This window comes from Homo sapiens, chromosome 15, assembly GCF_000001405.40.
Source record: "Homo sapiens chromosome 15, GRCh38.p14 Primary Assembly".
NCBI lineage: Eukaryota > Metazoa > Chordata > Mammalia > Primates > Hominidae > Homo > Homo sapiens.
In genome coordinates this window covers 67,281,826-67,309,206 of record NC_000015.10, presented here as the reverse complement: position 1 = coordinate 67,309,206, position 27,381 = coordinate 67,281,826, and the positions used below count along the sequence as shown (strand labels likewise).

General features: G+C 36.7%; 1 protein-coding gene across 12 annotated transcripts in view; it reads right to left on the bottom strand.

The window, feature by feature from the left end:
• IQCH (IQ motif containing H) overlaps positions 1-27,381 on the bottom strand; it is a 247,019-nt gene that overhangs the window by 192,598 nt on the left and 27,040 nt on the right. Inside the window, exons 5-6 of one of the 12 annotated variants that reach the window (NM_022784.3) lie at positions 4,752-4,868; positions 1,983-2,381 (exon numbers count right to left, since the gene is read on the bottom strand). The exons of the other annotated variants lie outside the window; for them this stretch is intronic. Coding sequence (NP_073621.2) covers positions 2,379-2,381; positions 4,752-4,868 — 120 coding nt within the window. The 3' untranslated portion in view covers positions 1,983-2,378. Of the gene's footprint in view, positions 1-1,982; positions 2,382-4,751; positions 4,869-27,381 lie in introns of those variants that run through there. 12 annotated transcript variants of the gene reach the window in all.

The following is a 27,381-nucleotide window of genomic DNA, read 5'->3' as shown; positions in this document are numbered from 1 at the left end:
TCAGAACACTTCTTTGTACCAGGACCTTTGTTAAGTGCTTTGAATTATCTCATTAAAAACTCAATACAATCCTATGAGATAGATACTTTTATTGTGGACATTTTACATGAGGAAAGGGAGACTGTTTCTGGGAGATCCCGGTCTAGTAAGGATTCACACCAGGCAGTCTGACCCAGAATCACTATTCTAAGAGCTAAAAAGTGGTTTCAGTTCAGCATAGGGTTGGTTTGGGAATGCATACAGGATCATGGCAGAGAAGCTCAAGAAACATACCACTATAAATAAATTAAAAGAACTCACTACAGCTAGATTTTTTTTTATGAATGTTATCTGACAAGGCTATAGCCTCTCATTGCCTCTCCCTGCTCCCAGAGCAATGGGCTTTAGTGAGACAGCCATCCACCAGCCAACATTCCATCACTTTCCTCAGCTTTCCCATTATTCCAAACCAATGCAGAATTGACATTCTGAATAGCAACAACATACAAAGGCAATACACTACCACCTCCACCACCACCACCACCACCTTCACTGCCATATTAGTGGAATATATTTTATAGGCTGTGAATCAGGAAGGACATGAAAAGTCACTCCTTTGTCAAAAACTCTTTCTAAGCAACCTGAAGAGAAAGCTCACTTTAAATGATAGGAGTGGGATGTTGTGCATGCCACCACAGTCCTTGGGTGATGACTTTGTGTCATAAATAGGATATGGCATTTCAGAATGTCTTTAAAGCTATTTCCTTTTGTTCAACTAATTTAATTTACCAAATGCTCCTGGGAAAAGGGAGGGGGACCAAGATGCTGACTCCACATTTCCTGAAAAATCAACATTTTCTTTTTAAACTGCTCTCAAAGAAATTGCATCTGATTGTTGTCTGCTGGCTCCCTCAAACTCTACCTCTGTCAAAATTCTGCCCCAGCAGGTGTGAGAAAGAATAGATGCAGAACTTGAGTGAATACCCACATCTGTTTTTGGAAAAAGAGAACAGAAGCAGCACAGAAGGAAGTAAAAGAGATAATTGCTGGCTTGAACTACAATACATTTTACTTGTGGGCAGAGGGCCAGCTTACAGCAGGCGGAATATGCAGGCCCATCTTATTGGAATTCAAGGGTGGGCCTCCATTCTTGTCCGGAGACAGCTGTAAACCAGCAGCCCATAGCATCACAATCAGGCACTGAGTTTTGTCAAGGAATGCTGATACGTACAGAAGCAGCTTTGTCTGCCTCAACTGCACCCCTACCTGGTGAAATGACAGTCAATCTCTGATTCCAGATGACAAGAACTGGATAAAAACTTAAAACAAATGGCGACCTTTCAAAAGATTAATTTGTTTACCAACAAAATGTTCCCTCTTTGTCATCTGAGATGGGGGTGACCTTCACTTTCCCATATCTAGCCTGAAAGGATGCTGACTACAGTCATCTGTTAAGTTAACTCCATCTCAGCAATTATTCCCTTTTTTTATTTTTAGTGACAAGAAAGGTTTATTAATTCACTCTGCTTCTTGTTATGGTTTATAAATGCAACAAGCTCATTCTGAATTACTGCAGTGTAACATCAATTTGTTTAAATCTAATTCTGCTACCGTTGCCAAATTATGTTGTGACTGTAATTGTGGCCATATGCATGGGCTTAAAACACAATCATGTTTTGAAATCGCCCTTCTTTCTCCACTCCCACTCCCTACCCCCACCCCCACCCCACCCCTTACTTCTAGTGCTTCTTCTAATCATTTGACATTAACACAATTGCCTCACTTTCTATTACTTTATCATTTCAGAAATGAATATGCTTTCAGTGAGAGAGAGATTACTATGTACACCCCAAGTGAAACAGTAAAGAATGAAACTATGATTTGTGAAGTGTGGTTGCTACCCAACTAAGTTAGTGGAAAACACTGCATAACATATGACTCATAAAATCTAGAAATCATAATAGTATTAAATTCAACCTCATGAATAAATAAAAGATTCTAAGTTTACATTGCATTATATATATATTTATTTGGAAAGTAGAACCAAAGAACTGGTATAATTCTACAGCAACTCACATCTTGCCAAAAAGAAAAATGTTTTTATGATTTTTTTCTAGGTCATAACAGTTATAATCAGTTATTTGTGCAGCAATTCAAAGCAATGTTTGGTTTGGCTATTTTGTTATGCATTCATAATTGTTCTTTTAAAATTCATGTTAACAGATACATGTTTCAAGCCTTTTAAGAAACACTTTTTATTTAAAAGGAATAAATCAAAGTCAAATTTTCTGTAGATTTCTTAATGTGTTGTATTATAAAGTCTAACTGGAACTGGATGTCAGTGAGGGAACATGAACAGTACCAGGGATTTCTTCTTGTTTCCACATACCTTTGAGGACCTACTAGAAAAAATGTTAGAAGGTTGTTTGTTACTATTTGGCAGATTGAAGATATTGAAAAAATCACCAGTGAGTCTCACTTTTAATATGTTTTTGGTAAATTGATTTTACATAACAGAGTCACAGGATATAAAATTCTGAAGATAGTTTTGCAATATGAGTATGTGTGTGTGGCAGGGGGTATATGTGTTTTCAATGCACTAAAATCCTGGCATCAGCCTCTTATTATCAGGAGGAATACACCACTTCATAAGATGGAGAAGATACCAGCTTCTAGGAACAAATAATGGAAATTGGCTACATATTCACATTTGCTCTGTCAAAAATGTCTAAGGTTATTTACAAGCTTTTGACAAGCTGATCAAGTTTCATAAGAAGTAACGAAACACATGGCCCTCGGCAGCCAAATAATAATCCCGTTTGAGTGTTTAGTTCTAAAATGATTAGCTTTGATGATGCCTTTCTAATTAACTATACATCCCAATGCTAGACACATTACTCTAGTTTGGGTAAGTGCTTTTGAAATGATTTTTATAAGTGGTAAATCACAACTGCATTTATCCCCAAATGCTTTATATGACTGTTTAAAACCAAATACCTGAACACACTTCTCTCACAGTACTTTTTGCACAATGCTTCTGTTTTATAAATCCAAAATGAAAATACTGTTTTTCAGTTAGTATTACCATACAACTATATCAACATAAAATGATAGGGTCAACTAACTATTTGATCAAAAGGCCAACAGTTTGAAAAAAATATACACAATGTATATCCAATTTTAAATTGCTCTGGTGTAGATTTTTATGGCATCAAGTTTGATGGAAAAAGGAGATTTAATACAGTAAATGAATATCTATTAGCTATATGTCATAAAAGGGAAGTGCTTTCCCAAATTCTCTTTGCTCAAAGTATGTAGATACAACATCCAAGGCACTCATTCTATTTGGAAATTGGAAAAATACACAATTAATGACTAAGAATCTGCCCCAAGTTTTGGATATAATTTTGAAATCTCTATTTGCTTAAGTCTGAATCTTCATTCAGATTCATAAAGCAAAGCATAATCCTTTTTAAATCTAGAGGTATGCCTTTTAAAACTCCAGTACTCATCAGAAAAAGTTCACATGAAACACAGCAGTTGCCTCGGGCTACAAAGCCTCAGTACTCCTCCAGCTAAGCCAATATTAATTCTAGATGGAAGAGGAAAACCAACAACAAAAGAGAAATCTGCTTCTGTCTGTGTTGCCAGAGAAATAATATTTGTATTTCAGGGGCTTTGGGCTCATGGGAAGCAGATAAAAACCCTTTCACATTATTCACAGTGACATTTTAAATAAAGTTTCAGCAGGAATAAAAATATCTAACTTTCTGGTTATTTCTTAGGCTATAGAAGTATTTGTAAGATAAAGTGCTCTTAAACCAAACCTGTTAGAATAACATAAAGCACATATAAAGAAACTGAAAATATATTTCAGGGTTACACGAATGAAGTAGGCAGTTGAAAATGTCTGTGTAGGAAATTTGGAAGATTAACCTAAGAGACTATTATGCTAGTTAGAAATGGCTTTGCAATTTAATCCTAACATTAATCTTGTTTTTAGTTTTGATTTCACCAAGGCATACATTTAAGAGCTTTTGAAAGAAGCCAAAGGTTAAAAATGTATTTAAAAAAATAGAGATGTTACCTCAGTAATTGTTTTCAGTGTTAGAAATGATCTCAAATTAAATAATTTCCCAGCTAAAATGAAGCACTACTCTTAATTCTCCTAAGAAAACTCCACAACATAGAGTACAATCCTTGCTTTAGGACAAGGTAGCATCTAGTCAATGGCAAAAATGGCATTGACTCTGAGATCTCTTACTGCAGATCTACATTTGACTATTTTTCCCTCTCACTATTTTGCTGACATAAAGGCTTAGTCCCTGCTTGCCTCAGATTTAGAATAATATTCTCAAATATTTGCATATTATGACAGTATACACAATGGAAGAGGATTCTGTGCTGTTGTTTTATTTGGATTTTTCTAGTGGTAAGCCTACTATCAAAGAAATACAATATTTAAAATTTCTCTATTAATTCTTTTTGCTGGTAAATTATTTCCTCGTTAAAATTATGGTACTAGATTATTTAGGAATATCAAATAAAATAGAGAAATCTGAATGAGCTACAAATAAGTCTTCAAAAACAGGCTTACATTTTCTTAATCATTGCTAATTATAAACAGAATGAGAGCCATTTCATCTCCAAAAAATTCCAAAGACAAAAGGATCACAATCTTTACTTAACATCTACATTACATCTTACACTACTAATAAATGACTTTTATTTCTTAAAAAAATAAGAGCTCATTAAAACAACTCATTACTTACACATGCTTTTCTCTGATTAATATATGGCAAACTGATTCCATAGTTCGCATTTACAGCAGCTCTGTGGTGGATGTTTTCAGGATCCTGCAAGATTTTTACATTCAACCCTATCTTTCGCTGAAACAAAGAAACAATGAAACTTTCATGCTGGATGAACAAAAATGCTTACTAACATTTTATATCCTCAAAGGAGTTTAAAGTTCTTTGGAAATAATTATTTTAATGAAATTCTCACTGGAAAAAAATATATTTGGATCTTTTATTTAGGCTGCTAATCAGTCCCTTTTATTCACAGAAAAGGAACTTTGTGTAGATTTTCCTCCGTGTATCCCATTGCTCCCACAAATACATCCTCAGACACATTTTCTTAAAAATAATGCTGGAAGCCAACCAAGGTGGGCAAAGGACTAGATAGAATACCTGGTCTTAATTTCTTTTTAGCTTTCCAGGTCAAGGATTTTGTCAATGAAATCTATACTACAAATACACAGGTAGAGGGCTCCCTTGGTCTGTTAATGTGGCCACTTTCCTCTAGGGACATTTACAGGTAAATCTCAGTTTGGGCCTGGTAAATTTACCACAACAAATTTATCTACTCCTTCACAGAGATTCTCTTATCTGTAAGAATAATTTATGCTTTCATTAGAAAAAAATAAAAGCCTCTTGTCTGAACCACTTATTCCTCATTTTAAATAATTCAAATTAGTTATTGTTGACATGCTTGATAAACCATGAGAGTGGGCCACATAGTGGTGGTGGCAAGGGGCACTAGATAGTTGTCAGGACACCTAGGTGCCAGCTCTCCTCTCGACTGCTGTGTGTGACCTTGGGTAAGTCACTTCACCTCTATGGAAGTCAGTTTCTCTATTCACAAAATGCATGTTAGACTTAATGGTCTCTTGAGGAACCATGCCCAAGCTTTGGGATTCTATGATTTGAGGCTAAAAAATAATTTGGCACGTAGGGAATATGGTATTACTAATAATTTCTAGTCTTTTGTGATTTTAAAAATTGTAATATAATGCATATACCATAAAATTCACCCCTTTAAAGTGTACAATTCAGTGGTTTTCAGTATATTCACAACCATCACCACTATCTAATTCCAGAACATGTGCATCCCCCGAAAATGAGACCTCATACCCATTAGCAATTGCTCCCCATTCCCTCTTCCCACTAGTTCCAGGCAACCAGTAATCTACTTTCTGTCTCTCCTGATGTATCTATTCTGGACATTTCATAAAAATGGAGTCAAAATATGTAGGCTTCGCAACTTTTTAAAAAGGAGGTTAGAAGTATTGTGAGCAACCTAACTGTTTTCCTTTCAATTAAGTGTCTTAGTTTTGAGGGTGATCTGATGCAGTTGTTAAAATGTTGTAGGAATTGGACAGATTTGTTCATGATCCATCTATTTCTTTGACATAAGCATTTATAAAGGGTCTGTGCCTAAGGTCAAAGTGAAGAAGGCTACAAAAATATCTACAGAATGTATGCTAGATAAGCATAGATACGTTTAGGTAAGGTCTTTAACAGATATCCCAAATCTTCCTTTTACTTTTTAATAGCATGGTTTTTTGTTGTTGTTGTTGTTGTTGTTTTGAGACGGAGTCTCGCTCTGTCACCCAGGCTGGAGTGCAGTGACACAATCTCGGTTCACTGAAACCTCCGCCTCCCAGGTTCAAGTGATTCTCCTGCCTCAGCCTCCTGAGTAGCTGGGATTACAGGTGTGCACTACCACACCCGGCTAATTTTTGTATTTTTAGTAGAGACAGGGTTTCACCATGTTGGTCAGGCTGGTCTCGAACTCCTGACCTCGTGATCCACCTGCCTTAGCCTCCCAAAGTGCTGGGATTACAGGCATGAGCCACTGTAGTCGACCAATAGCATTTCTTAAACCAAATCTCCAAATAACTGCCCTCAACTGTCCACTTTATTTAATCTGGGCAAGGATACAGGATGCAAACAAGGCATGTCTATTTCCTTCTCCTTGAGGTACACGTGGTCACAAAAGTAATGTCGTACCTAATTATAAATGGCTTTTCTTCTGTGGGTAACACTCACAGCACTACTCCAGGGTTTTTGCATGGAAGCAGATTGCCTCTTCTATTGAAATTAATACCTGAACATAATTTTTTCCTTCTTAAACTTTCAGAATAATTTCTATTCTACCAAGGATTGGGAAATTGCTAATATGTATTGTATTGACTGGATGTGGGTTTCTGTAATTAGGGTGTTTTTAAAATGTGTGTATTCTGGATACAGAATTGATGGTAATAGCTTCATCTATCACGTCTAAGCTTTGTTAGAACATTTTAATTATGGGATTATTGGCTCATAGCAGTTTTCTTAGTTTTATCATGCTCCATCAAGTTTGTGTGGTTATAGGTCTGGTGTAGGGAGGAAATGGCCAAATACAGAATCACTGTTAAAACTGGCCTTAAAATCCTGTAGTGTTCTGCCTATTGTTAAATTCTGTAGCACTACACATAGTTATTTCTGAAAAGAAATCAGTATGTAAATAGAAATCCAACAGAAATGATAGGTGTACTATCAATTCTTTATTGTTGGGTTCGAAAGCAATCATTTGAGGTTAAAAGATAATTTTAAAATATTAATATTCTCATATTTACTATTTTGGTCCCAATGCATGTGTATACCAAAATAGTAATATGTAGCACACATGATTTAATTGCTCTTTTCAAAAACACTTAAAAGGAATCTATGTTTAAAGAATATTCACATAATCATACAGGCATGGTGGCTCACTCCTGTAATCCCAGCACTTTGGGAGGCCGAGGTGGGTGGATCATTTGAGGTCAGGAGTTCGAGACCAGCCTGGCCAACATGGTGAAACCCCGTCTCTACTAAAAATACAAAAATTAGCCAGGTGTAGTAGCGTGCGCCTGTGGTCCCAGCTACTTGAGAGGCTGAGGCATGAGAATTGCTTGAACCCAGGAGGTGGAGGTTGCAGTGAGGTGAGATCATGCCACTGCACTCTAGCCTGGGCAACAGAATGAGACTCGGTTTCAAAAAAAAAAAAAAAAAAAAAAAAAACTTAACATAACAAATGTTTCACTGAAATTCACTACCAAGTACATTCAAAACCTAAATTTGTCTTACGAACCATCTATAGTGATGTATGGGAAAATACTTATAAGCATAGCTGTATTATGAGACTCAATAATAAGGTTTTCAAGAAAATGAATTACAGACTTCAAAAACAAAAATAAAATTAATCATTCCATTAAGCAGGAAAGTATGCTCTGGAAGATGATCATTTTTTACCAACAGTAAGATAAATATCAGAAATAACTTCAGAAATTTTTAGTAAATTGGTCAAGAAAAGATACCAATTTATGTAATCCATCTTGAGTCACTAGACAATCTAAACTTTGTATTCTTTCCTTTTGATGGTAATTACAAGCAGATATATCAAATGTGACTCTCATTTAGACTCTGGTTTGTAAGAACAAAAGTTATTATCAGAGCCAATTACTGTTTTACCTACATGGCTGCACAGAAGCAGGGAGCTCAATTTTCATCTCATCAGTGATTCTGTGGTATTTATTTCATTATTATGCCCACAAAGCTATATAAGAAGGAAATAGCTTATGCTATTAAAACTAGGGTTGGAATATAGGAGGCTAAGGTTTCTTTTAGAACAACTTCTGAATTAAAAACACTAGGCAGTGTGTAATGCCAGCTCCCCAGACATGGGTAGACCATAAAATGACACACATCTGAGCAGTAGATCCCACACAGAGTAATCAAAATTGAAATGCTTCACAAACAAAGTTGAGAGAGGCTATTTACTAAGTTACAGTATTATCGACAGTGTTTCCTGCAAGTAGTGTCTTCTAAAGTGGATATTGCTTAATATCATATTCCCACTGGTTAAAGACAGCTGCTGTTTAGTCTCAAATGCAGAGAAAAGAAAAATACAAAGAATTTAGTCACTTTTAACACTCATTCTCTCAACCACTGTCTTAGGTAATATGAAGAACAATAGACGTCAAGTCCTGATTTGAGCTGTATGATCTAGATTTCTCATTTGTAAAACTGGGTAGTAACCCTTAGCTTCATAGGGTTGTTTGTGAAGTTCAAATGACTAATGTATGGTAAGTATCTTGTAAATTATAAAGTACTATTCTGGAGCCAATGTGAAAGAGGCTCCCACTGGCCCCAAAATAATGATTACTGTGGATTGAAACACTTCAAACATATAAAAATCCATGAGTTCTTAATAATACTCCCTTCCCCTCAAAAACCTAGTTGATAAAATTGATAAATTAACCTAAAAATTGATAAATAAAAGAATTAAGCAAAAGTAAGTAATTAAAACTGGTTTTCAGAGTCACCAAAGAGTTGCTAAGGAAAACTTCCTCATAGAGGCTAAAAAAATGCAAAGGAATGATAGAAATATAAAAATCACTACTTTGTAATTCCTAATGAAATAACGTATTAAAGTAAACATCAATGGTTGCTAATATCATTAAGTGAAAGGTTGTAGAGAATTTTATAAAAGACAAATTCAGCTGAAAATCCTTGGAGTCATTTATCAGTCTTAATATTATTAAAAGACAAAAAAAGAAATTGCGTCTTGATATGCTATAAAAGAAAGTACACAGGCACTGGGTACAGCACCATTGTAAAATATGAAGTAGTCCTGCCAAAAAGACAGAATCTGAATACAATCAAGCTTCCAGATAAAACTAACAGTTTAGAAGAGCTACTAGGGAGACAGGAACATGTAAAATGGCATCATGGGATTGCAATCAGATAAATCCAGACTGTGGGAAGAACCTATATGACAAATGACCTGGTTTCTTCAACAAATAATTGACATTAAAATTTTTTTATTTTTAATTTTTGTGGATACCTAGTAGGTATATATATTTATGAGGTATATGAGCTATTTTCATACAAGCATATAATGAGTAATAATTACATCACATCAGGGGAAATGGGATATCCATCACCTCAAGCATTTATCCTTTCTTTGTATTACAAACAATCCAGTTATACACTTTTATTTTTAAATGTACAATAAATTATTGTTGAGTATAACAGAGTGACCAGCCAGCGTCACCTTGTTGTGATATACTAGATCTTATTCATTCTATTTAACTATATTTTTGTGCTCATTAACTATCCCCCCTTCTCCCCAAGCCCCGCACTACCCTTCCCAGCCTCTGGTAACCATCCTTCTACTCTCTATCTCAGTGAATTCAATTGTTTTAATTTTTAGCTTCCACAAATAAGTGAGAACATGTGAATCCTGCCCTTCTATGCCTGGCTTATTTCACTTAACATAATGATCTCCAGTTCTATCCATGTTGTTGCAAATGACAGGATCTCATTGTTTTTTTTTTTTTTTGGCTGAATATATTCCATTGTGTGTAAGTGCCACATTTTCTTTATTCATCTGTTGATGGACACTTAGGTTGCTTCTAAATCTTGGCTATTGGGAATAGTGCTACAATAAACATGGGAGTGCAGCTACCTCTTTGATACACTGATTTCCTTTCTTTCGGAAATGGGATTGCTGGATCATATGGTAGCTTTATTTTTAGTTGTTGTTGTTGTTGTTCAGACAGATTATTGCTCTGTCACCCAGGCTGGAGCACAGTGGCACAATCTCTGCTCACTGCAACCTCTGCCTCCCGGGTTCATGTGATTCTTGTGCCTCAGCCTCCCAAGTAGCTGAGATTACAGGCATGCACCAACACACCCAGCTAATTTTTGTAATTTTTAGTAGAAACGGGTTTCATCATGTTGGCCAGGCTGGTCTTGAACTCCTGGCCTCAAATGATCTGCCCACCTCGGCCTCCCAACGTGCTGGAATTACAGGAGTAAGACACCACACCTGGCCTATTTTTAGTTTTCTGAGGAACTTCCAAACCGTTCTCCATAGTGGTTGTATTAATTTACATTCCTACCAACTGTGTAGGAGGTTTCTGTTTTCTCCACATACTTGCCAGCATTTGTTATTGCCTGTCTTTAGATAAAAGTCATTTTAGTGGGTCAGATGATATCTCATTGTAGTTTTGATTTGCCTTTCTCTGATGATCAGTGATGTTAAGCCACCTGTTTGTCATTTGTATGTCTTATTTTGAGAAATGCCAATTCAGATCTTTTTTTTTTTTTAGACCGAGTCTTGCTCTGTCACCCAGGCTGAGAGTGCAAGTGATGTGATATCGGCTTACTGCAACCTCCGCCTCCTGGGTTCAAGCAATTCTCCTGCCTCAGCCTCCCAAGTAGCTGGGATTACAGGCTACGACACCACACCTGGCTAATTTTTGTATTTTTAGTAGAGACGGGGTTTCACCATATTAGCCAGGCTGGTCTGGAACTCCTGACCTCAGAAGATCCACCCGCCTCGGCCTCCCAAAGTGCTGGGATAACAGGTGTGAGCCACTGTGCCCAGCCTCTTTTGCCCATTTTAAAAACAGATTATTAGAATTTTTTTTTCCTAGAGTAGCTTGAGCTCCTAATATATTCTGGTTATTAATCCCTTGTCAGATGGGTAGTTTGCAAATATTTTCTCCCATTCTGTGGGTTGTCTCTTTGTTGATGGTTTCTTTTTGCTGTGCAGAAGCTTTTTAACTTGATGTGATCCCATTTGTCCATTTTTGCTTTGTTTGCCTGTGCTTGTAGGGTATTACTCAAGAAATCTTTAAATGACATTTTTTAAACGAGGGAAACTGTTTAGGTAAAATGAAATACAATTATAATGTGTGGACCTTGTTTGCATCCTGTTTCATGCAAACAATAGTAGAATGACAATTTAAAGACAATTGGGGAAAATTGCGCATGGACTGGGAATTATACAATATTAGTGAATTGTTGTTAAGTTTTCGGCATGATGGAGGGAAAGATGGACAAGGATGTTTGCAAGAGAAAGACTATGGTGCTGAACCATTGAATCAGAAGAGATTTGAGATTATATAACAGAAAATGCTACTGGGGTCTATTCTCACTAGTTACAGGTGATAATGGTTATTTTAAAAAATCTTTACCAAATAATATACGATAAAGTGAAATGATATGATGTCTGGGATTTGCTTTCAAAGACTTTGCCAAAAATAGTAGAGGGAATAGATGAAATTAGAATGGAAAAATTATGTTAACTGCTAAAGCTGGGAGATGGCTATATGGATTTTTGCGTCTATTCAAAAATACATTTTCTTAATAAAATGTCAACTAAAATTAAGAGGTAATTAAAATGTAATTGTTCATTATTTTATTATTAATTCAGCTCTAACATTCTATGCTCTATTACCTCCCCTCTTATCTCCCTGTTAGGGCTAGAAGGATCAACAAAGTAGAAGCCCTCCACAATCACAGCATCACTTAACTCCATGCTGCTCCTAAACAGCCCAGCTGCTGCCTAACTGCCTCAGGTTCACAAAACCTAAAGGCTTACCTACTTCTATTCAGATGTGGCCAATCCGTTTTCTCATTCCTACAGGAGTTGAATTGGAGAATAAGAGAAGGGTTAGGGGAGAGAGCTAACATTTATTCAGGTCCCATTTTGTGCCAAGCACCAGAACAGGTGAGTGTGGTCACAGTCAACTGATTTGAGTCCTAAAAATAACAAGAGGAAGTATATGATATTGTCACTACTTTGCCAGTGAGGATAATTGGTTAAGTGACTTCTCAAGGTCACACAATCTGGAATTGAGGAGACAGGATTTGATTTACATCTCTGAATCCAAAGCCTCATTTCATCACAACATACTGCCACATTATAAAGAAATGTTAGGTGATGGACTCTTGATTCAACTTCCTATCATCCTATCAGATTCTTTACCCTCTCTAGTCCCCACAGGCACTGCTTGGTCCATGCTTCACTGATTATTACACAGACCTCCTTAATGGTCCCTCAGATGGGTCTCTTTGCTTCCAATCCATCTTCTGCATGATGGCCTGCCTCTAATCACTGAATCCAATACGTCTCTCACCTTTAAAATCCTCCACCAGTTTCCCTTAGGGTGGCGTAATCTGACCCATTCCTTCCAGCTCCGCCTCCTGCCATTCCTTCCTAACAGCTCTGAGGACTTTTCATGCTGAATGACCAATGACCACATACAACACGCTCTCTCCACCTCTGCAAGTGAGCATGCTGTTCCCTCTTCTGCGAATGTCTTCCTCTTCCCTCTTCAGTGTCTTCTGGTCACACTTTTATTCAAACTTGAACTTCAGTCAGGCCCAAATTACTCTGGGAGGTCTCCTCCAACCTCTATCTCTCTTTCTTTAACAGAATTCATTCATTCATTCAAACATTTCTTGAGAGCCTAGTAGGTTTTAGAAACAGGACAGACGAAGTCCCTGCCCATGTGGATCTTACTTTCTTGAAGGTATGTGAGGAATCAGACAATAAGCACATAAACAGATATAAAATTAATTTCAGATTGCCCTAAATGCTCTAAATAAAATACACTAGGATAATGGGATAGAGAATAAGAGGAAACTACCTTAGATATGGTGGTCAAGAACAGCCTCTCTGAGGAGACAACAATTAGACTAAGACCAGAGTGATGAAACTGAGCTAGTTATGCAAAGATCTCTAAATGACTGAGGAGTGAGAAACTGACGATTCATGAGAGGAAATAACTGTAGAAACTAAGGCCTTAATAAGAGGCTGGCCTTAATAGGAAAGGGACACTTCCATTATGATTAGAGAGAAGGCACAGAATATACATCTTGACCTAGAAAGACTGATGCATTTAGTTAGGATTCATTTGTCTATATGTGACCAAAAACTAGAAGAATATTGTTTAAATAAGACAGAATTTAGTCCTCTCATGTACCTGAAGTCCAGAGGTAGGTTGTTCAGGGTTGATTTGGAAGTCATAAAATTCTTAAGGAGCAGACGCCTCCTAGCTCAGTACTCTTCTATCCCAATATGTGGACCTACCCTTCCTGGTCTAAGATGGCTGCTAGATAGAGTTCCAGCATCATAGACTCATCCCACATAGCAAAAGAGAGGAGGGAGAAGAAAACGATCAAAGGGCACAAGCCAGTTCTATGTTTTTAGAACATTTCCTGAAAGCTACTCATAATACTCCCCCTTACATTTCATTAGCCAGTACTTGGCCATATAGCTATAATCAACTGCAAAGGAAGCTGGAAAATATGGTCTTTACATGAGACAGCCATATTTCTAGCTAAAAAGATCAAAGGTGTTATTACAAAGAAAGAGGGAGAGGAATACTGGGGATACTAGCAGACTCTGACACAAAAAATGAGGTGGCACTCATCTGATTTCATTTATTTTTTTCAGCGAGTATGAAGAGAGATCATCAGCTGAAAGTAAGGGGAGACAAGGGTGCTGGAGGTATGAAGAAAGAGGAGAAAGTTTAAAATAGCCGTCTCAAGGGATAAGAAAGTGATTTTGCTACAGAAAAGTGATAGCACTTATCAGCTGAGTTTAGTGCCCACCTGAAATTTGGGGTCATAAAATTAAAGTCAGACCCCTAAGCACCATTGTGAGATGTACTGCAGCTATATTTAGCTACTCAGATGCAAACACAGAGCAGTTGGTTAGGTTTAACCAGACTTGTGTTTTGTCTCCCAGGCATGATGGAGGGGAAGATGGATAAGGATGTTTGCAAGAAAGAGACCATGGTGCTGAACCACTGAATCAGTTAGATCTGACATTCTATAACAGAAAACCCTACTGGGGTCTATTCTCACATGGCAGAGGTAGTCAATTGCTAGCATTAGTTCAGCTGCTCAGAGAAGCCACTGGGGGCCCAGTTCCTTTCTCTCTTTCTGCTCTACAATCATCAGGGTGTTGCCTTTTGTCCATGCTTGTCATCCCATGGTTGCAAGATGATTGCTGCAGCTCCAGATGTCATATCTGTGTTTAAGGGAGGAAGAAAGGAGAAAGGGAAATAGGGGCAAAGGAACATGCCAGCTGTGACTATCCCCTTTATTAGAAAAGCAAAATATTCCCTGGAACTAACCCCCAGTAGACTGCTGCTTGGTACTAACTGGACAGAACTGGGACACGTGGAAATATTTTGCTTTGAGGAAGGCTCAGAAATGAGGAATCTTATTCCTTATGATATAACGCCATCCTGAGCAAAATCAGTTGTTAGTAATATAGGCAAGGAAATAGATATTGGGCAGAGAACTAACAATTTCTGCCACAACCATGGCATCTAATCTAGCTGAGAAGGAAAAGACAATAAGACAAAAGTGATAAATAGTGAAATAATGAGAGGTCAATGGGTTGAAGGTCCTCATAGTGTTGAAAAATTGTTGGAAGAACATACTATATGTGAGCTGGCAGTCTAGGATGCAGAGGTCACACTGCTGTGCTTGAAAAAGATTTTCAAGATGATGCCCTTAATGGTTACATCAAAGCCCAGGCATTAGGCATACCCTCTGGCTCTACAAGAGCATGTTTTCCAAAACTCTATTATACCATTCACTACTGTATCTATAGGGGACCTTTCAAATTGCAAGTCATATTCTCTGGTGAAAGCCTCCAATAACTTTCGATCTCCCTCGGTAATATCCAAAGTCTCACAATGGTCTACAAGATCTGGCCCCTCCTACTTTTCCCACTTCACTCTTCCTTGCACCCTCCCCTTCTTTGCTATTCACACTCATAATTTAGGGTCTTTCTTCTGTCTAGGATGCATTTCCTCCAAGGAGGCACATGACTTGCTCCTTCAGAGCCATCAAATTTGTGCTCACATGTCACCTTACAAGTTAGACCATCCCAATAGTCCCTATGTTCCTTTCCCAGCTTTTCTCTCACCAACTAACATGCTATTCACTCTGGCCCTCCATATCCATGGGTTCTGCATTCATGAATTCAATCAACGGTGAATTCGAAATATTTTTTAAAAAATGTATCTGTACCAAACATATACAGACTCTTTTTCTTGTCATTATTTTCTAAACAATGCAGTATAAAAACTATTTACAGAACATTTACATGGTATTAAGTATTACAAATAATCTAGCGATTATTTAAAGTGTACAGGAGGATGTACATAGGTTATATGCAAATATTACACTATTTTATATCAGGGTTTTGAGCATACACAGATTTTAGTATCCAAGGGAGATCATGGGACCAATCCCCCACGAATAGTGAGGGACAACTGGATGTTTACTTTTCAAATTGTTTTTTGTTTTCCTAATGACTACTCAGCCTCAATTAGAATGTAAGCTCCATGAGAGCAGAGAAATGTGGCTGATGCCTAAAATAGGGCCCAACATGTATTAGGTACATAATAGAGGTTGATTAGTACTTATCAACAAATAAGAACAATAATACTTATACAACACTCACTGTACAACAGATACTACTGTTAAACCCATTTTGCAGATGAGGAATTGAGGCATGGAGAGGTTAAGTGACTTGCCCAAGTATAGCTAGTAAGTGATAGAGCCAGGATGTTAACCCATAGTTCTAACCACTATGCTGTCATCTACTGAGAGCCTACTCCAGGCTAGGCACTGTCTAGGCCCTAGTTACAGCAATGAACTAAGCAGAGTCCCTCTGCTTTAGAAATAAAATAATCAGATGCAATGGATAACAGATCCAGGACTGGAAAGAGAGGAGTAAAAGTCATTTGGGGAATAACTGGGGCAATCTAAATATGAACTGGAAATTTATTATATTCAAGAATTACTGTTGATTTTATTAGGTGAGATAAAGATATTGTGAGTGAAAGAGAAACAGTTCATTTTTGAAGATTCATGTTAAAAGCATTAAGGGGTGAAATGTCATTAGGTTTTTATTTTATTTTAAAACACTTCAATAAAAATAGATGAAGCAAAAATGGTAAAGGTTAACAATTGTTCAATCTAAGTGATGGAGAAGTGGTTATTTATGTTATTTTTTCATACTGTTTTAGTCTTTTTGGGCTGCTATAATGAAGCCTGGGAGCTGGCTTACCCCTGTAATCCCAGCATTTTGGGAGGCCAAGGCAGGAGGATCACTTGAGCTCAGAAGTTTGAGACCAGCCTGGGCAACAAAACCTTGCTACTACTAAAAATTTAAAAATTAGCCAGGTATGGTGGCATGCAGCTCTAGTCCCAGTCTCAGCTACTCGGGAGGCTGAGGCAGGAGGACTGCTTGAGCCCAGGAGATTGCGGCTGCATGATGAGCCATGATTGTATACTGCATTCTAGCCAGGGCAACAGAGCAATACCCTGTCTCAAAAAAAGAGTCTGGATGGCTTATAAACAACAACAACATTTATTTCTTACAGTTCTGGAGCCTGGGAAGTTCAAGATCAAGACACTGGTAGATTCAGTGTTTGGTGAGGGCCTGCTTCCCAGTTCATAGATGGCCATCTTTTCACTGTGTCTGCACATGGAAGAGGGGCCAAGGAAGCTCCCTAGGGCCTCTTTTATAAGAGCACTAATCCCCCTCATGAGGGCTTCACTCTCATGAGCTAAGCACTCCCCAAAGTCCATACGTCAAAATGTCATCACACTGTGCATTAGGTTTTATTTAATAACATGAATTTTGGGGACATACACACACATTCAGTCTATAGAAAGTATATTTGAATATTTTCATACAAAAAGGGTTTTTAGAAGCCATGGAAAAGGAAACAAATATTTTCAAAAAGTCGCTGCTCTCATGGAGCTTACATTCTAATGAGAGGGCAGAACTCACAGTGGATCCTTGTAGGCATTCTCTTCTCTCCAATCTATTCTATAAAATCCAACTTGCCATCTCATCAGTAAAATTTTTACCCTGATAGAGGTATAACTTACAGTGAAAATTTCTGAAGGAACCTTTGCCTGCTCTGATATTTTCCATTTTTGATCTTTTACCATATTATGCCACATAATGTCAAAAATCCTCAAAACTTTCGTTTGGGTGAAATTTTGAAAATCACCTTTCTTAATTAGATCAAAATTCACAAAATTAAAGATTCTTTCCAGGTTAGATACAAATGTACATTGCTGTATCATACTAGAGCACAGTATTTTTTTTATGTTTGATTGTTAAGGCATCAATTTTAAGGAACTTGGGGTGAGCTGGTGTTTATCCTGGCTAGAATTAGATGACTGTTGAAGTCCCTTCAAAATGTGAGATTCCAGGAAATTCTAGAATTAGGTTAATAATCATAATAATACCCATAATTGAGCACTTTACCATGTGCCAGGTATTGTGCTATTTGGGAAACTATGCATTTATTCCAATTTTTGGAACTCGTTTTTTAGACTGCCTACATCACATTCTTTAGAATGGCTTCACCTTTTTGCTTTTGCCAAAAATTATTCTGAGTTACATCTGGCAAACAAGGTAGGTATCCAAGCTGAACAATAGGTATTGTCTAGAATGAGACAGTTACAACACAGTGATAGTATGTCCCTTCCCTAGTGGTTGGACTTGCATGAATAATGATTGTGTTTCTGTCTTCTGCAGTGTTTTCCAGAGTGGATTCTATGAACACTGCGAGAGATATAGCTCTTCTTGTGCAGAAAATCCTATGGACTATAGAAAGTTTAGTGTTCCTGGCCCATAAAGGCCAGCAGTGCTCCAAAAACATTGTAACAAACCCAGAAGTCTCTCTGCATTCCCCAAGGCTCCCAAGGAAGGCCACTATATTAAATTCCACGTGGAAAGGGATCATGCTGTATTATATATCTCTGCATTCCAGAGCTGGGCACAGTGAATGGCACAAATTTGACACTCAAAGTTTGTTGAATAATCTGAACTGTCTCACAAACTGCCTTCACAATTTAATTGCCTTCAAAATTACAAAATAAAATCTCCAAGAATTCTTTCAACACTGAAATTATTAGGTTAAGCGTAAAGCCTTGTATGATATGTGCTGTATTTCTTCTATTCAAAAAAATGTTTTCAAGTTTTAACATTTCTGAAATCAGCCTTTCTTACATGTGATGTCAAAAGAATCTTGCCAAGAATCTTGCCAGTCACTACCCACAGGAGTAAGCTGTGATGCAATTGTGCAACTCAGACTAGCCATGAATAAGAATATGTTCATAACATCATCACCACAATTGAATTTTGTGTCCTAGAAGTACCAGAGGTGCTTAAAATTTAAGCAGAGATTTTTGCTTAAAACACCTTTTAAAAGATTACATTTTGATGCAGCATTAAAATAAAAAAGTTATTACAGATGCAGAAATTATGATATAAACCAGCATAGTAAATCTCATGGAATAGACTCTAGGATTTTCAAAGCTATGGAGAGCTGGTGTCACCAATTTATATAATCATTCAGGTACTGAAAAGCTCTGACAGAAGCCTTCCACTGATTTTCAGGAGAAGGTGTTTAACTTTCAGGGCTGGGAATTAAGTTACGGAAAATATGAAATTATGACGTGGACCAAATAAGACAATGAAAAGAAACCCTATTATTTTTCACTATGCCCCAGAATTATATTACCAGTCGAATGAAGACAAAAGATTCAACTTCACAAGTCAGAGTTGTTAAAAAACAGTCTGTCATCATGATGCTGCACGTGATGTCAAATGGCCAAAAGTGATTTGGAAGAATCTAGACTGTGAATAAAAAGGCTTAGACTCAAACTTTGTTACATGAAAGTTTGTGTAATATATATTGTTTGGTTTTAAAAATTATGTTTTTAAACCTGAAAATCTCTTACTGATTTGTGATACAGAAACTTCAACTACATTACTCATCATTTTCACTTGATGTTCTCTTTGAGAGATCCCATCTTCTCTGACTTGTACCACCCCTAAATGTTGATAAGAGCAAATCTATAGCTTATTCTCAGATATTTCTTCTGACCTCCATACTACGTGTAGGTACATTCAGCTGCCTGTTAGGCATTTCCTCTTGGAAGGGTCCACAAGCATCTCAGATTCAACACTGTATGAAACTGAATTAATCTTATTTGCCTACTCCAATCATCACCTCAACATATCTGCTCCTTCTCCTATGTCTCCCATCTCAATGAATGGTGTAACTAGCACCCAGTCTCCAAGCTGGATACTTGTGGGTTATCACTTACTCTCTCATTCTCTTTTTAATCCCCCATGATCAAGTCGTGTTAGTTCTACTACTAATCACTGTCTTTTTTTCTTTAGGCCCATGATCACTGCAATAATTCAGACCTTCATCATCTCTTACCTGGATTACCACAAATTGGTTGATGAAGTTCCCAGAGTCTACCTCCTACTCCAATCTCTTTTTCCATACTGCTGACAAAACAATCTTTTCAAATCACTATTATGATCATGTCATTCTCTAATTCACTATTTAAAAATTATAAATAGTTCTCTTTGTCACTAATGTAAATTCAAACTCTTTCACATTATAGAATCTTAGCAAGCTGCATCATTATCTAGCCTTCCTTTATCTCTTCTTCAACCTCATCTCTTGATTGTCTTCAAACAATACTGTCTACATTTTAACCATGAGGAACTCATTGGGTTCCCCCCAGATAAGCCATGCTCTTGTTTATGGCCATGTATTTGCATATTTCCTCCACTGTGAGCACCTCTCCTCTCTCATCTTAGCTGGCTGAGACTCAGCCCAGGCATCATTGCCTTTGTAAAGCCTCTCGCATCCCTGACCAAGTTTGCATAAGCCCACCCTTTCTCTTTGATTCTGTAGCCCACAGTGCTTCTTTCTGTCTCAGATGATGTTTATTTGTCTATCTCCCTCAACATATTCTCAAAGACAAGTCCTCCAGTGCTTAGAAGAGTACCTAACGTAGTTATCAGTAATAACTTTGAATGTAAATGGACTAAACTCTCCAATCAAAAGACACAGAGTGGCTGGATGGATGCAAAAACAAGACCCAATGATATGTTGCCTACAAGAAATGCATTTTACCTATAAAGACACACATAGACTAAAAATAAAAGAATGGAAAAAGATATTCCATGTAAATGGAAACCAAAAAAGAGCAGGAGTAGCTATACCAGACAAAATAGATTTCAAGACAAAAACTATAAGAAGAGACAAATGTCACTATATAATGATAAATGGGTTAATTCAGCAAAAACGTGTAACAATTGCAAATAAATATATATATGCACCCAATACTGGATCATCGAAATATATAAAGCAAATATTATTAGAGCTAAAGAGAAAGATAGACCCAAATACAGTAAGAGCTGGAGACTTCAACACCCCACTTTCAGCATTAAACAGATCTTCCAGACAGAAAAATCAGCAAAGGAACATCAGACTTGATCTGCACTACAGATCAAATGGACTTAATAGATATTTACAGAACATTTCATCCCATGGCTGCAGAAGGCTCTATGTGCAGATCAGCACATGGATCATTCTCAAGGACAGACCAAATGTTAGGTCAAAAAAGAGGTCTTAAAACATTCAAAATAAATTGAAATAACATCAAGCTTTTTCTCTGACCACAATGGAATAAAACTAGAGATCAATAACAAAAATAATTTTGGAAACTACATAAATACATGGAAAGTAAACAATATGCTCCTGAATGACCAGTGGGTCAATGAAGAAATTAAGAAAACTGAAAAATTTCTTGAAACAAAAGATAATAGAAACACAACAACATACCAAAACCTGTGGGATATAGTGAAGGCAATGCTAAGAGGGAAGTTTATAGCTAGCTATAAGCAACTACATCCAAAAAAAGGAAAGCTTCAAATAAATAACCTAACAATACATCTTAAAGAACTAGAAAATCAAGAGAAAACCAAACCCAAAATTAGCAGAAGAAAAGAAATAATAAAGATCAGAGCAGAAATAAATGAAATAAAGTACAAAATATCAATGAAACAAAAATTGTTTTGAAAAGATAAACAAACTGATAAACCTTTAACCAGACTAAGAAAAAAAGAAGTCCCAAATAAATAAAATCAGAGATGACAAAGGAGATAATACAATGCAGAAATTCAAAAGATCATTAGTGGCTTCTATGAGGAATTATATGCCAATAAATTGGAAAATCTAGAAGAAATGTATAAATTTCTAGACATATACACCCTACTATGTCTAAACCATGAAGAAATCCAAAATCTGAACAAACCAATAACAAGTAGCGAGACTGAAGCCATAATAAAACATCTTCCAGCAAAGAAAAGCCCAGTACCCGATGACCTCACTGTTGAATTCTACCAAATATTTAAAAAAGAACTAATACCAATCCTACTCAAACTATTCCAATAAACAGAAGAAGAGGAAATACTTCCAAACTCATTCTACAAGGCCAGTATTACCCTGATACCAAAGCCAGACCAAACACATTAAAAAGAGAAAAAACTATGGGCCAATATCCCTGATGAATATTAATGCAAAAATCTCAAAAAAATTAGCAAACTGAATTCAACAACACATTAAGAAGATAATTCATCATGACCAGTGGGATTTATCCCAGAAATGGAAGGAGGGTTCAACATATGCAAATCAATCAATGTGATACATCATATCAACAGAATAGAGGACAAAACCATATGATCATTTCAATTGGTGCTGAAAAAGTATTTGATAAAATTCAACAACGTTTCACAAGAAAAACCTTCAGGAAACTGGGTATAGAAGGAACATATTTCAACATAATAAAAGCCATATATAGGCCGGGCGTGGTGGCTCACACCTGTAATCCCAGCACTTTGGGAGGCCAAGGTGGGTGGATCATTTGAGGTCAGGAGTTTGAGACCAGCCTGACCAACATGGTGAAACCCCATCTCTACTAAAAATACAAAAAAAAATTAGCCGGGTGTGGTGGCCTGCGCCTGTAATCCCAGATACTTGGGAGGCTGAGGCAGGTTCCCATTTGAACCTGGGAAGCAGAGGTGACAGTAAGCCCGAACTGCACCATGGCACTCCAGCCTGGGCGACAGAACGAGACTCTACTCAATAAATAAATACATAAATAAATAAATAAATAAATAAATAAATAAAAGCCATATATGACAGACCCACAGCTAGTATCATACTGAATGGGGAAAAACTGAAAGCCTTTCTCCTAAGTTTGGGAACATGACAAGGACGCCCACTTTCACCACTGTTATTCAACACAGAATGGGAAGTCCTGGCTAGAGCAATCAGAAAAGAGAAAGAAATAAAGGGCATCCAAATTGGAAATGAAGAAGTCAAATTATCCTTGTTTGCAGATGATATGATCTTATATTTGGAAAAACCTAAAGACTCCACCAAAAAACTATTAGAACTAATAAACATGTTCAGTAAAGTTGCAGCATTCAAAATAAGCATACAAACATCAGTAGCATTTCTATAAGCCCACAGCGAACAATGTGAAAAAGAAATCAAGACAGTAATCCCATTTACAATAGCTACAAGTAAAATTAAATATCCAGGAATTAATAAAAGATGTAAAAAATCTCTACAATGAATACTACAAAACATTAATGGAAGAAATTGAAAAGGATATCAAAAAAGGGAAAGATATTCCATGTTCATGGATTGGAAGAATCAATATTGTCAAAATATCCATAGTACCCAAAGCAATCTACAGATTCAATGCAATCCCTATCAAAGTACCAATGACATTCTTCATAAAATTAGAAAAAACAATCTTAAAATTTATATGGAGCCACAAAAGAGCCAGAATAGCCAAAGCTATCCTGAGCAAAGAGGATAAAACTGGAAGAATCACATTACCTGATTTCAAATTATACTACAAAGCTATAGTAACCAAAACAGCATGGTACTGGTAGACCAACAGAACAGAATAGAGAACCCAGAAATAAGACTGCACACCTACAACTCTCTGATCTTTGACAAACCTGACAAAAAAAGGCAACAGGGAAAGGATTCCCTATTCAATAAATGATGCTGGGATAACTGGTTAGCCATATGCAGAAGACTGAAACTGGACCCCTTCCTTACACCACACACAAACATTAACTCAAGATGGATTAAAGACTTAAATGTAAAACCCCAAACTATAAAAACCCTAGAAGAATACCCAGGCAATACCACTCAGGACATAGGCATGGGCACAGATTTCATGACAAAGATGCCAAAAGCAACTGTAACAAAATTTTTGTCAACAAAAATTGACAAATGGGATCTAATTAAACTAAAGAGCTCCAGAACAGCAAAAGAAACTATCAACAAAATAAACAGACAACCTACAGAATGGGAGAAAATTTTCGCAAACTATGTAACCGACAAAGGATGCATCTGTAAGGAACTTAAACAAATTTCTGAGAAAAAAAAAACATTAAAAAGTGGGCAAAGGACATGAATGGATACTTTTCAAAAGATGACATACATGCGGCCAATGATCATGTGAAAAAAAGGTCAACATCACTGATTATTAGAGAAATGCAAATCAAAACCACAATGAGATACCATCTCACACCAGTCAGAATGGTGATTATTTAAAAGTGAAGAAACAACAGATGCTGGCGAGGTTGCAGAGAAATAGGAATGCTTTTACACTGTTGGTGGGAATGTAAAATAGTTCAACCATTGTGGAAGACAGTGTGGCAATTCCTCAAAGATCTAGAACCAGAAATAGCATTTGACCCAGCAATCCCACTACTGGGTATACGCCCAAAGGAATATAAATCATTCTATTACAAAGATACATGCACACATATGTTCACTGTAGCACTATTCACAGTAGCAAAGACATGGAATCAACCCAAATATCCATCAATAATAGACTGGATAAAGAAAATGTGGTAGATATACACCATGGAATACTATGCAGCCATAAAAGGAATGAGACCATGTATTTTGCAGGGACATGAATGGAGCTGGAGGCCATTATCCTTAGCAAGCTAATGCAGGAACAGAAAATACCACATGTTCTCATTTATAAATGGGAGCTAAGTGATAAGAACACATGGACACATAGAGAGGAACAACACACACTGGGTCCTATTGGAGGGAGGAGGGTGGAAGAAGGGAGAGGATCAGGAAAAATAACTAATGGGTACTAGGCTTAATACCTGGGTGATGAAATAATCTGCACAACAAATCCCCATGACACAAGTTTACCTATGTAACAAATCTGCACATGTACCCCTGAACTTAAAAGTTTAAAACAAACAAGCAAACAAAAAACCCAGATGAATGGATAAAGAAAAAGTGGTACATATACACAGTGAAGTACTATTCAGCCACAAAAGAGAATGAGATCTTGTCATTTACTACAACAGGGATGGAACTGGACTTCATTATGTTAAGTGAAATAAGCCAGGCAAACAAGGACATGATTCACGTGTTTTTATTTATTTGTGGGAGCTAAAAATTAAAATAGTTGAACTCATGAAGATGGAAAGTAGAAGGATAGTTACTAGAGTCTGGGAAGGGTAGTGTGGGTTAGGGGGAAGTGGGGATGGTTAATGGGTACAAAAAATAGAAAGAATGAATAAGAACTAGTATTTGATAGTAAAACAGAGCAACTATAGTCAGTAATAATTTACTGTACATTAAAAATAACTAAAGAGTATAATTGGATTGTTTGTAACACAAAGGATAAATGCAATCTTGAGGTGATGGCTACCCCATTTACCCTGATGTGATTATCATGCATTGCATGCCTATACCAGAATAGCTCATGTACCCCATACATATGTACACCCACTATGTACTCACAAAAATAAAAAATAAAATAAATGAAATAAATAAAAATTTGAAAATGTTTGGTAAATGAATAAACTGATGCTGTACAATCCTCTGCATCTCAAATTGGGGCACTACTGGGAGTATGTGGTAGTATGATAGGAACATAATAAACAAGAGATATATTATTTGGGGCATGAGTTTTATCTAAATATTTTGAAGTAAAATCCATTACTTTTATATCGAAACAAAAATGGATATATAATGAAATGGAGTGAAAAATTGCTATAATTTATATGCCAAAGCATGAGCTATCAAAGATATTTCCCACTTACTTTGGACTCTTTAGACTCAACCCCAGAACGTACATGGTCCCACTTTCCCTCTTTTGCTGTCACGGATAGTCAATAGAAAAAAAAAACTCAGAAATATCACACCATGTTACATTTTTATCCCATTTGATAAACATAAAATAGCATATATTTTATGTGAATAATTGTATGAACATAACTTCATATATAGCATTTGTGAACAAAAATGGTCTTTATTTGTATGACTCAAAATGTTATCTGTTTCAGTAAAAGCAAAAAAATTCATAACCAACACAAACCCTACATATCTGCATACGTACTTGTACTGTATATACATTATTACAAAGGGGAATGAGTGGACAAATACAACCCGCTGTTAACACTGGTTGCCTCATGGGATTGGGTAGTTTGGTAGAGAGTGGGGGTTCAACAACTGGCTTTGCCTTTACATCTTCATATTATGTTTGTCACAACAACAAGCATGTATTACTGATAAATTTGGAGGAAAAAATTAAAAATTAGTATTTTAATAAGCAAAAATGGAGTCCATATTGATTTCGCCAGTTATCAGCAAATTCTGAAAATTAGACTTTATATTCCAATACTACTTACTGATATTTCATCACTGATTCTATTTTTTTCAAGAGAAAACCTCAGAAAGTGAAAGGTTAGTGTAACCTTTCTTTTTTAAATTGTAAATGTTTCTGAGTATGCTTTTTCAAATTAAAAGAGGCTTAATAAACAATTCTAAATTACGATTCTTAATTACAATTGAGCAACTCCTAACTGTTTGTCATTTAAGCTTTTTGATGTGAATTTCAAAAACAGCTATCCACTTTTGGTGAGAGAGAGCTTAAAGAAGTGACTGGGGTTTACCTGGTTTAAAAGGTTGGAAGTGGGCAATTAAAGGTAGTAATATCCCAGTTGGATTTCATAACTACTTAATAATATAAGCTTTTATGTTGGTGTAGTAGGCATGTGTAACAGCTGGTAAGACAGCATTGTCTGTCTTTGACTTTACAGTGCAAAATTAGGGCTATCTTTTGTGTCAGAGGATATGCATTTTTAAGCAGACGTCACACATATTAGATATACAACAACAATAGTAATCCAGGCTCTGGAGGCAAAGTCAGGGTAGGAAATAGTCCATGCCACTTTTTAAGTGAAGCTCACCCATCCTCATAGCATTTAAAAGAACACAGTGCATCTTCATGAACATTAGCCAGGATTCAGAGCTCTTTGGGGCAAATAAATTTCTGGCCATAGTTGTTTTTTTTTTTCCCAGAACAATAATAGCAATTATACATTCTAAAATAGCCTAATTTCATATATTTTATTTCATTGCTCTTATAAATCAGATACCTCCATCTAATCTCTGGTCTGGGGGACCAACTATGGACCTTCTGAGATTCTTGGCAAACAGGTAAAAAAATGACTGAAGAAGTGATTTAACAGTAAGGAAGATGAGAAGTTTAAGCTCCCTTTATCACAGCATTCTGTTTTATTTTTATCAGAGCTTTTATCATTATCTGGTGGTATCTTATTGATGGTCTGTCTTTCCCCACTAGAATATAAGCTCTCTGATGTCAGGGATCTGATCTGTCTTATTCAGCCCAGCGTGCCTCTAATAATCCTGGGCACACAGTAAGCACTCCTCAGAGAGTGGCTGACAGACCCAATGTAACAAGTGCAAGGACAGAGATAGGAGAGGGCTGCTTTGGGAGTTCACAGGAGCCTGAACTGATATTTTACATGCAGATGAGCACACTCTTAGAGATCACTGTGGTGGTTTTGTTTATCCATTCAACA